At 39.5% G+C, this 12,062-nt stretch overlaps 1 protein-coding gene across 1 annotated transcript in view; it reads right to left on the bottom strand.

Annotated features, from left to right (window-relative positions):
• Positions 1-6,437: 6,437 nt before the first annotated feature.
• The window catches only part of NOP58 (NOP58 ribonucleoprotein), a 37,899-nt gene continuing 32,274 nt past the window's right edge, over positions 6,438-12,062 (bottom strand). Inside the window, exons 13-15 of the mRNA NM_015934.5 lie at positions 9,732-9,865; positions 7,042-7,178; positions 6,438-6,713 (exon numbers count right to left, since the gene is read on the bottom strand). Coding sequence (NP_057018.1) covers positions 6,663-6,713; positions 7,042-7,178; positions 9,732-9,865 — 322 coding nt within the window. The 3' untranslated portion in view covers positions 6,438-6,662. The remainder of the gene's footprint in view (positions 6,714-7,041; positions 7,179-9,731; positions 9,866-12,062) is intronic.

Here is a 12,062-nt window from a genome sequence, read left to right as displayed (position 1 = left end):
TTTACTTGCAAAAACAGGCTATGGGCTGGATTTGAACCTCAGGCTGTCCTTTGCCCACCTCTGATCTAAACAGCCCCTCTTCCTCATACCCATGTTTAAGAATAATTTTTTTAAGAATTATATATATATTTTATATATTTTTTGAGACGGAGTCTCGCTCTGTCGCCCAGGCTGGAGTACAGTGGCATGATCTTGGCTCACTGCAAGCTCCGCCTCCCAGGTTCACGCCATTCTCCTGCCTCAGCCTCCCGAGTAGCTGGGACTACAGGCGCCCGCCACCACGCCCGGCTAATTTTTTGTATTTTTAGTAGAGACGAGGTTTCACCGTGTTAGCCAGGATGGTCTCGATCTCCTGACCTCGTGATCTGCCAGCCTCAGCCTCCCAAAGTGCTGGGATTACAGGCGTGAGCCACCGCTCCCGACTTAAGAATAATTTTTTAAAAATAGTTCTTTAATCTAAGCAATCCATACACATAGTTTAGAGACTGAGACGACTGCTACTAAGATATAATGAAACGAGTAGTCCCTTATCCCCCATGCCACCGTTAATTCTCAGGATGTAATTCCTAAGAAGCAATCACGATGTAATTCCTAAGAAGCAATCACGATGAAATCCCCGCACCATTTATTTATTTTTATTATTTATTATTATTTTTAAAGACAGGGTCTTCCCTTTTCACCCAGGATAGAGTGCAGTGGCGCAGTCTCAGCTCACTGCAGCCTCGAACTTCCTGGTCTCAGGTGATCCTCCCACCTCAGCCTTCCAAGTAGCTGGGACTACAGACGCACACTACAATGGCTGGTTAACTTTCTTTTTTTTTTTTTTTTTTAACAGAAAGGGTTTTGCCATGTTGCCCAGGCTGGTTTGGAGCTCCTGGTCTCCAGTGATCTGCCCACCTTGGCCTCCCAAAGTGCTGGGATTGCAGGCATGAGCCAATAGGCCTGCCCCTCTCCCGCATTTTTTTTTTTTTTTTTTGAGATGGGAGTCTCACTGTGCCCAGGCTGGAGTGCAGTGGTGTGATCTCGGCTCACTGCAACCTTCGCTTCCCGGGTTCAAGCAATTCTCCTGCCTCAGCCTCCCAAGTAGCTGGGATTATAGGCGTGTGCCACAATGCCCGGCTAATTTTTGTATTTTTAGTAGAGACAGGGTTTTGCCATGTTGGCCAGGCTGGTCTTGAACTCCTGACCCCAAGTGATCCACCCGCCTCCGCCTCCCAAAATGTTGGGATTACAGGCGTTAGCCACCTCGCCTGGCTCTTTCCCCTACGTTCTTAATTATTCGACTTTAACGTTGCACATTTTGGATCTGATTGTTTCCTATGATGCTTTTTCTGTAAACTGAAACCTAAAAGACCAACGCTGAATTAAATGTGTAAACTTTCAATAAAAGAAATTGCTTTCGGCCGGGCGCCGTGGCTCATGCCTGTAATCCCAGCACTTTGGGAGGCTGAGGTGGGCGGATCACCTAAGGTCGGGAGTTCGAGATCAGCCTGACCAACATGGAGAAACCCCGTCTCTACTGAAAATACAAAATTAGCCAGGCATAGTGGCACATGCCTGTAATCCCAGCTACTAGGGAGGCTGAGGCAGGAGAATCGCTTGAACCTGGGAGGCAGAGGTTGCAGTGAGCCGAGATCGTGCCATTGCACTCCAGCCTGGGTAACAAGAGTGAAACTCCATCTCAAAAAAAAACAAAAACAAAAACAAAAACATTGCTGTCTAAAAGAAAAGAGCAGGCCTAATGTCTTTGGAATACGCCAGCACACTGGGTGCATGTATAAAGGTCTCTGGGTCTGAGTCTTCATTGTATATAGGTGATTTCCTGGATTCCTTTTAACTCTAAAATCTCCTATTGCCCTGACAACAGATCAAATTTTTGACGAATGTGATGTCATGCTCCTTGCTGTCTCATTTACAGCCATTAGCTCTTAAGTATTGTGACACTTTGAGTAATCAAGGGCTGTAGTTTTTATGAGAGTTTGTTCAGCTTTGGTTACTTTTATATAGGATACATTCATAGCTATCCTAATAACAGTTTACCTTCCAACTTTGAAGGCTGCATTTGCTGCTATGACATAGGAGTTGGTATGCAAATGGATGTCTTGACCAGCTGAAATACTAGGGGCCCTTTGTCTCAACACTGTAGGCCAGGAATTTCCAGGCAGCCACTTCCAAAGCTACTGCTTGGTGCCTTGCCAGGTTTGGGGGCTTGGTTTAAATCAAAGTAGCAGATACCAGCCTCGGGTCCCCAGGCTTCGTGAGAAACCTCTAGTGAGCTGCTATTCCAACCTATCTCCACAGGGGTAGCAAGCACAACTCACTGCTAGACTCAAACTATTTTTTCCAATGACAAGATTCCAATTATCTTCAGGCTACTAAAATGTTCCAAAAGCTGGGCGCAGTGGCTTTTGCATATAGTCCCAGCTACTCCAGAGGTTGAGGTAGGAGGATCACTTGAGGCCAGGATTTCAAGATCAGGGCAACACAGTGAGACCCCCATCTTTAAAAAGATAAATATTTCTCTATTTACACAAATACTCTTTGGGTTAGCAGCACAAGGCTAGGTGGGAGCGTATAATCTGGAAGATGATTTCAATACTGTACTGATAAATGGAATCTTCTTGTACATCATGGACCACAGAATTGTGAGAGGAAAATCATCCAGGTTTAAAGCCAGTAAGTTCAAATTAATATTTTAAAACATTGTTTACTACTATACGAAAAACTGCTAGTGAGCAGGGGACTGGAATAGATGCTAATAAAAAGATGATTATGAGACGGTTCCTGACATAGGAGCTTTCTCTTAATGCTATTGGAGTATAGGAGTGTAAATTACGACATTCTTTTGGAGGCAAACTGACATTATTTTACACTTATATCCCCTTTGACATAGTAATTCTGTATCTAAAAATTATCCTATGGAAATGCAAATACATGAAGATAAATAAATGTTCAAAGGCATTCACTGCAGCCTACAAAAAAATCTGGAAGTACTCAAAAATACTAAATAGAAAAACTTGGATATGAAGATATGGTGAGTCTAGTATAAATAAAAATTTAATGATGCTAAATTGATAATTTTCTCTTTCAACTAGTCATATCAGACTCCTTAAAATTTTAGCTAAAGTAAGACTAAGAAATGCTCAGCCCCATGCACAATGTTGGGACTAGGGCATGAATTTATCTTCTCACTGATATTTTTCAGATGATTTTGCATTGCATGTACACTTTTTGCTGTATGTTGTGTGGTGCTTTAATTCTGGTATTGTTCTCACAAACTTTAATAAACAACACAATGGGGCCAGGCGCAGTGGCTCACGGCTGTAATCCCAGCACTTTGGGAGGCTGAGGCAGGTGGATCACCTCAGGTAAGGAGTTTGAGACCAGCCTGACCAACATGGTGAAACCCCATCTCTCCTAAAAACACAAAATTAGCCAGGCGTGGTTGTGCATGCCTGTAATCCCAGCTACTCAGGAGGCCGAGGCAGGAGAATTGCTTGAACCCGGGAGGCAGAGGTTGCAGTGAGCCGAGATCGCGCCATTGCACTCCAGCCTGGGCAACAAGAGCGAAACTCCATTTCAAAAAAAGAAGAAAAAAAATGCCTAAGTTTTTTCCCTTTTATTTAATACTAATTATACATAGAACACTTGCAGTATCAGCAATTAAGTTTGTCCCTTCAAAAGCAAATTCTTACGGCCAGGAAACAATGCTACTAATTTTTTCTTGTACCCATTCAAGCTTGCATTATCTATGTAGGGAGAGCATTGACCTGATTGTCTAGCCCTCTGGGGCTCCTCAATTACCTACAGTGCAACAGCACAACTGAGGCCTGACGCTGGCTTTCTGGTGCTTTTCATGTTGCCAAAATGGGCAGGCCTGACTTCTTGACCATCAATTTAAGTTTGGTTTTAGTTTGGAGAACTATAGGGTTAGGCAAGGGAGTCCTTGCAGTACAGTGGTCCAGGTGCTGTCCCCCAACCATCAACTGGAATCTGTAACAAATGGAAATTCTTGGGCTCTACCCGATACCCAGTAAATCAGAAATTTACTGTTTAAAAAGTTCTCCAGATGTTTTAGGAACTATTGTAATTTACAGTTGACCCTTGACACATACAGATTTTCTTCTGCCTCTGCCACCCCTGAGACAGCATGAGTAACACCTCCTCTTCTCAGCCTACTCAACTGAAAACAAGTATGAAGATCTTTATGATCATCCACTTCCACTGAATGAACAGTATTTTCTCAACACTTTTTTCTCTAGCTTATGGTAAGAATACAGTAATACATAACATAATGTGTTTTGAGTTTGTTATTGGTAAGGCTTCTGGTCAACAGTAGGCTGTTAGCAGTTAAGTTTTGGGGGAATCATTAAGTCATACGCAAAATTTTCAACTGTGCAGGGGGTCAGTCCCCCTAGTCCCTTATTGTTCAAAAGTCAACTGCACTTCTTTTAGAAATTTTTTTAAGAGACAGGGTTTGCTCTGTCACCTGGACTGGAGTGCTGTGGTGTGACCATGGCTCACTGCAGCCCCAACCTCCTGGACTCAAGCGATCCTCCTGCTTCAGTGTCCCAAGTAGCTAGGGGTTAAATCTTGACTTTACCACATAAACCTCTTCACAAGCATTATCTCACTTATTTCTCAGAGAAATCCAGTTTCAGATAAGCAAACAGGTTCTGAGAGTTTAAGTAATTTATCCTAGTACTTTGCTACCATGCACATGGACCCTCATCTACCACCACCTGAGCTTGTAAAAAATGAGGAAATCTTGGGCTCCAACCCAGACCTGCATTTTTTTTTTGCTCTGGTGGCACTAATAGAGCATCAGATTTGCATTTTATCAAGCAAGGTCTCTAGATAATTCCTATGCACACTAGCTAGGGTTTGAGACATTTGGCCCTACTCCATGTTATCCTAAAGGGTACAAATACAGCTGGGATAAAGGATGAGCCTGAGCCAAGTCTGAAAATGGCCATTGAGAAGCAACAGATGGATCAGAGAACCCTTCACGGGCAGCAAATAAATCTTTTCTAAAAGAGCCCTGGAACAGAGCGCCAAAGTTGGAGGAGAGAGGACAGCTCACTCAAGGGCCTTGTAATTGTGCTGAGGAGCCAGAAGGCAATGGACAGATACAGCAGTTTAAACTGGAAGATAGAAATTTACATTTTTGAAGGGAAATGGAGAATCAGTAGGTTTTCAGCAGAGTTTTGTGGTGCAGCCACAGAAATTCTTCAAATTTACTAATAAAAACTAGGCATATAAAATTCACCCGAGTTTCCGATTTCAAACTAAGTTCACAAGGCTCTTCATTAGAAGTGTTTCAATAGTACCAAGTAGAACAAGAACCTACCTTTTGGTTAGTTTTTTAAATAGTTAAACCTTCAGCCCTTATGAGAGGTGGTTGCTGTATGATTTAACTATGCTTTCTCTGGGCCTGCAGAAGACTATTCAAATAACTGGAAGTTTATTATTTAGGTTTCTCAAAAACCTACCTTGTTTTGCATGTAAACCTTTTGACTATGCAGCTGGGTAGGTGGTTAGGCCTTTTTCATCAAAAGTCGGTCATAAACTAAGTCTGTTTTGTCCTAAATTAGGAATGTATCTGCGGTACCAGTGGGTGATGCGAAAATGACAGTGTTCTCCTGGGAACAAGATAACCAGCTTTATTATGTAATTTTATCTAGGGATGGCTGCATGTATTTTATCAACATTTACTTCAAGCAAATTAAATTTGAAGCCTAGTAACATCTCTGAAAGTTTATGTCATTTCATTTTCTACAAACCAGTTGGGAGAGGTAAAATTGACCATTATCTGTGATTTACAAATGAGGAAACCAAAGAGGGGCTGTTGACTTGAAAAGCAGAGGTGGAACTCAAAAGCCATAGTCATTCTAGTTTCCATCCACCAACAGCTTTTACTGAATTGGGCTTTAGTATGATGTCTATGACATACACAAACTGGCACTTTTTTTTTTCTTATTTTTTCCCTATTCTCCATTCTTTATGATCACTTTGTACAACCTTTAAAAAAGTCACTTCAGGCTGACTACTTTAAAAACAAATCAGGGTTTTAAGAATTATTTTGGTATGCCTTTTAGAATTGCAAACAGTAAAGGGAGGGATACTGTCTCCCACCCTTTTGAACTAAAAAGTTTTGCTCACCTAATTTAAAAATTTGAATAAGAAACAAATATTTATTTAAATAAAGAGGTAGAAAGATTATAGGTGGAAAATAAAAAGTAGTCCAAAAAGGCAAAAGAAACACATTAGAGTGGGGTCTTGAATTGGTCCACTTAATCACTGACTTCCAAAAGATTAAATTTCAAAACAACTCTCACTTTTCAGTTATAATTATCAAAACAATAATCATCACATGGCAAACTACAGAAAGAGCCAAAGATTCTCTACCTAAGATATAAAGAGATCACAAAATTGTCTTAAAATACAAAGAAAATTTTATTTGTATATCAAAGACTCTAAGAAATGATGACATAAGGTTAACAGAGTTGATGTCAAGACAAATAGGTTTGAAGTTATAGATGATAAATCACTTTGTCTTACTGAACCTTCCCTTGATTACGTTAGAGAGCATCCCTGGTATGCTCCCAGTTGAATCTTAAGCATGATGTGTGTCCGGGTGATATAATCGTAATTCCTTTCTGTTAATCCTCGTTCTCTCTCTTTTTTTTCTTTTTCTTCTTTTTCTCTGGACTCTGAAAATAGCCAACAAGAATGCTTTGAAAGAGCTGAAATTGTATGGGTGAGTAATCACATTGAAAATATAAAAACCCCACCTATAAAAAAAGTAAGCTTGAGCAAATCATACTCCTCCCCTCAATGCAAACTTGATTTTTAGTAATAAATTCTAGATTTGGGAAATGGCCTTTTATAATATAAATACAACAAAGCCATTTCACTTTTACCTCTCCATCAATGAAAACCATTTTTTAAAATGCCTGCTCATTTCTGATATAGAAAATAGATTGAAATATAGAGAACTGGCCCCTCCAAGTGAAAACCGATAATTAAAAACAAACATACAGCAATTGCTGTGCTGGTACATGGTTCTTCCTCAGAAAGTGGTTCTTCCTTAATGTGTTTCTTTTTACCCCTTTTCTTCTTCTTCTTCACAGATGTTTCTTCTTCTTCTGCCACTTTTTCTTCTTCCTCTTCTTCAACTGAATAGGGTAAGTGTAAAGGCACAACAAATTAACACTGTATCAGATCTCATTCCTTCCAAAAACGTTTGAGTCCTAGTTTTTTTCTGTCATTCTCATCAACTACCCAATGTTTGTTTTGTTTATTTTATAATTGGGAAGGTTCTCCAAGGCCTACCACTAACTTTAACGAATGATATAGATAGAGCTCAGAGCAATCTTCTCACGATCATGAAGTCATGTATAAAAATCAGGATTAAAACAAAGGTCATCTGATCTCCAATCATTATTGGGAAGAAAGTCAATTATATTAGAAATGGTTAAGAGCTTGCACTCTGAAGTCAGACGGCCTGGGTTTAATCTACCTGCTGCAACCCTGAAAAATTGTATTTACCCTTGGTGAAGCTCCCTATCTATAAAACTTAAGAATGTCTTATCTTACTGGACTGTTACTGATTTAAAAAGATGATGCATAGAAAGCACTAAGTATAATGCTTAGCACACATTACAATAAGGACTCAACACATAGCTATCATTAGACATTCAGTGACCAGCTGGGTGCAGTGGCTCACGCCTGTAATCTCAGCACTTTGGGAGGCTGAGGCGGGAGGATCACTTGAGGTCAGGATATCAAGACCAGCCTGGCCAACATGGTGAAATCCTGTATCTAATAAAAATACAAAAAAGTTAGCTAGGCATGGTGGTGCATGCCTGTAATCCCAGTTATTCAGGAGGCTGAAGCACGAGAATTGCTTGAACCCAGGAGGCGGAGGCTGCAGTCAGCCAAGATCACGCCACTGCACTTCAGCCTGGGCGACAGAGGGAGACTCTGTCTCAAAAAAAAAAAAAAAAAAAAAAGAAAAAAAAAAGAAAAAGAAAAGAGAGAGAAATTCAGCAATTCAGCAACCAAATAATATTCATGTCAGACTCTGTACTAAACAATTCGAGCAAGGCACAAGAGGCAAAAATATTCGTTTCCCTATGAATCTTTTTTATTTTAGTGGCAGAGTGGAGACATAAATGATACATTACATAATAGATATTAAAGTGGTAAGAATAAAAATAAAGCAGGAAGGGGAATGTTGGAAAAGGGCAGTATATATGGCCATTTTAGGCAGAATGGTCGGCAAACACCTAGAAGAGGTGAGGGAGTGAATGAATGATACATGTATCTTGAGGGAAAATAGTCCAGGTAGAGTAGAGCAGATGCTTAAGTCGTAAGGCGTTTTGGAGGGCAGATGGGATAAGTGGATGGATAGTAGGTTCAGGAAATAGCAAGCAGGCCAGTATGGCTGGAACAAATTTAGATTTAAAAAGCTAGTGGTGGTTCCACTGTGGCTACTACATACTTTCAAGTGGAACTGAGAGGATTTGCTGTCAGACTAGATTGAGTTATGAGAAAAAAGTCAAGGTTGATGGCCAAAGCAACTGGAATTGTCACATATAGAAAATGGGAGAGGACTGGGCGTGGTGGCTCATGCCTGTAATCCCAGCAGTTTGGGAGGCCGGAGTGGGTGGATCACAAGGTCAGGAGTTTGAGACCAGGCTGGCCAACATGGTGAAACCCTGTCTCTACTAAAAATAAAAAAATTAGCTGGGCGTGGTGGTGCGTGCCTGTAATCACAGCTACTCAAGAGGCTGAGGCAGGAAAATTGCTTGAACCTGGGAGGTGGAGGTTGCAGTGAGCCAAGATCATGCCACTGCACTCCAGCATGGGTGACAGAGCAAGATTCTGTCTTGGGGGTAAAAAAAGAGGGGGGAAATTGTGGGATGAAAAATTGACAAATAAATTGGAAAAGCTTATTGGATACACAATTGAGGATACAAAGGACAGAGTTTGGTGCCTCAAATGCTACTAGTGGGTTTAGGGATCTCCTTACTTTTCAATAAAAAGAAGCATAAAAGTTAAATAAATTGTTTGTTTTCTCTATCAAGTATACTATCCACATTTGTAGATCATATACTTTTGACCACTAAGCTACTTAGAAACCAAGTTAAAGCAATCATTGTGTTAATGCTTTACTCTTCTGCTAGACTTGCTAGTAGGTGTTCAATAAACCCAGGTGTAACTAATAATGGGGCGCCTGCTTATCAACTTCACAAGACAGCCTAGTTAACTGGTGAGCACCTGTTAGATATTGTAACTATGACGGCAGGCTACCAGTATGTATTCCTTCCAGTCCGCTCCGTGTAAGAGAAACAATGAAGAAAATCACTGTTCCATCAATTCTGTATTCATTCTTAACTATAAAACAAAAAATTTTCAACAACCAATTTAGAAAACACGTTCCTTTTTTCTCTTAATTCTCCAAATAGTTCATGTAGGAGAAATGAAGTTTTGGAACTCTTAGTAAAATACCTAATTTGACTAAACTTCTCACATTTCCTCTGTGCAGTCTGATAAATTTAACAATATCATATTCCCAGAGAACATAATGGCATTATTAAAACACCATTAGCGTTCAATGAGCAGTTTTATAATAAAGTGGGATGGCATGTACTTTTAAGACTCACAAAATCCACAGTTCTAAAGAAGTGAGTATAAGTTGTGTTAAAAAAAAAATTCAAACTAACCTTTAACTTTAATCTTGGCTTTTTTGGCTTTCTTTTCAGTAATTTCATCCTCTTTATCTACCTGTTCTATTTTGCGTTTTTTAGAACAGGTTGGAAGTGTGGAGTCACCAGAAGGATCGTAAGTCTTCACTTCACTGAAAGACCCAAAAAGTTTTAGAAAATCTCTAACAAGTATCTGGAATTGAAATAATTCTCAAGAGATAAAGAAAATGCCATTAGATAATACTTACATAAGCACACAATGTTGTTTCATTTTAGTGGCTTTGGGGTAGTTTATGAAGACTAATAGTTTCCAAAAGTTAAAGGTATTAATATTTTTCAAGTAGGTCAATCACATTCAAGAGATGTGGTGAGCTAAATGAATTCTGATTTAGTAATCAATGTAGTTACTATGGTACAGGAAAACACTCAATCAGCATGGGGGAAATGAAAGGAGAAAACGTCTTCACACCTAACTAGAAAGTGAAAACTGAACCATCCAACTTTCAGAACACTGCTCAATGGGGGAAAAAAAAAAAAAAAAAAGCAGAACAAAAAATCTAAACCAAGCTTAGTATAGAAGTCTTCATCACAAGATCACAAGAACAAGAAAGGATACAAATACATGCACATGGAAAAGATTCCATAGAACCCAACATTTGCTTTTGTTCTAATGTAAGCAGAAAGAAAATACTGAAATGAGTGCCTAAAATGTGAATGGATGCTTTAAGTGCATATGTTTAAAGTAAAAAGTACTAATTGCACAGGAACATTAAAAAAATTGGTTCAAAACAAGCTAAAAAATGTTCTGTTTTTTAAGCAGACCTGTAAGCTGAATGACTATTTAATTTTTTTAGGTTAAAGACATTTATAATTTAAGAAACAAAGAACCATGTTTGTCAACTAGAGATAATAAGTTATAGACTATAAATATTGCAGAATGTATGGCTATTGTAGAAAGCTTGGAAAATTCACAAAAAAGAAAATGTGAATGCCCACAGAAACACATTTGATTTCTTTCCAGAAAACACTAAATTATACTTAAATATGTATTTATAATTGGTAATGTTCTATATATTAATTACTCTCCTCATCCACTTATAAGATTTTACTATTAAAATTCTTGAAGGAGGCCGGGTGCTGTGGCTCACGCCTGTAATCCCAGCACTTTGGGAGGCCAAGGCGGGCGGATCACGAGGTCAGGAGATCAAGACCATCCTGGCCAACATGATGAAACCCCGACTCTACTAAAAATACAAAAATTAGCTGGATGTGGTGGTGTATGCCTGTAATCCTAGCTACTCGGGAGGCTGAGGCAGGAGCATAACTTGAACCGGGGAGTCAGAGGTTGCAGTGAGCCGCAATCGTGCCACTGCACTCCAGCCTGGCAACAGAGACAGACTGTCTCAAAAAAAAAAAAAAAAAAAAAAAAAAAATCTTGAAGGATTATGACTCCTGAAAGTATAATTTATTGGGTTAATGACTAGGAACATTTTGAAGAATCTTGATACATACTGTGAAATGGCTTCCTAGAACAGCTGTGCCACATTCTACCTGCATCATCACAACCTCACCAGCATTGAGCATTGCCTCAAATAATAACCCAAATACCCCTCCACATACAAATCTTTTGTTAATCTGATAGTTAAGTTTGAATGCTTTGTCATGCCTCAGCCATCTTTAGACTTGTTTTCTGTCTTTATACTTTTTACAAAATAGGTTTCTGTAGGGATTAACTCTGAATGAACTTTTTTTGAGACGGAGTTTTGCTCTTGTTGCCCAGGCTGGAGTGCAGGGGCGCGATCTCAGCTCACTGCACCCTCCGCCTCCCGGGTTTCAAGCAATTCTCCTGCCTCAGCCAGGTGCCCGCCACCACACCCAGTTAATTTTTTGTATTTTTAGTAGAGATGGGGTTTCACCATGTTGGCCAGGCCTGTGTTGAACTCCTGACCTCAGGTGATCTGCCTGCCTCAGCCTCCCAAAGTGCTGGGATTACAGGCATGAGCCACTGTGCCCGGCTGAGTGAACTTTTTGATAAAGAACATATTATAGAGGAACTTTAGATTAAAAAAATTTACTATCAATATCTGGAAATGAATAAATTAAATATGTATATGAATGAAAACTAGTAGAAGTTAATGCGGAAAACTAAATGGCATGGAAAAAAATTAGGGGTGCACAACATGGTTAACTACAGCTAACAATGTATTATATTCTTGAAAATTGCTAAGTAGATTTTAAGGTGTCCTCACCACAAAAAAAGTACATAAGACAATGCATGTTAATGAGCTTGACTTAATCATTCCTCAATGTGCACATTTTCCAAAACAACATACACACAATAAACATACA

The sequence above is a fragment of the Homo sapiens genome, chromosome 2 (genome assembly GCF_000001405.40).
Source record: "Homo sapiens chromosome 2, GRCh38.p14 Primary Assembly".
In the NCBI taxonomy this organism is placed as follows: Eukaryota; Metazoa; Chordata; class Mammalia; order Primates; family Hominidae; genus Homo; species Homo sapiens.
This window is presented reverse-complemented; position numbering and strand designations above follow the sequence as displayed.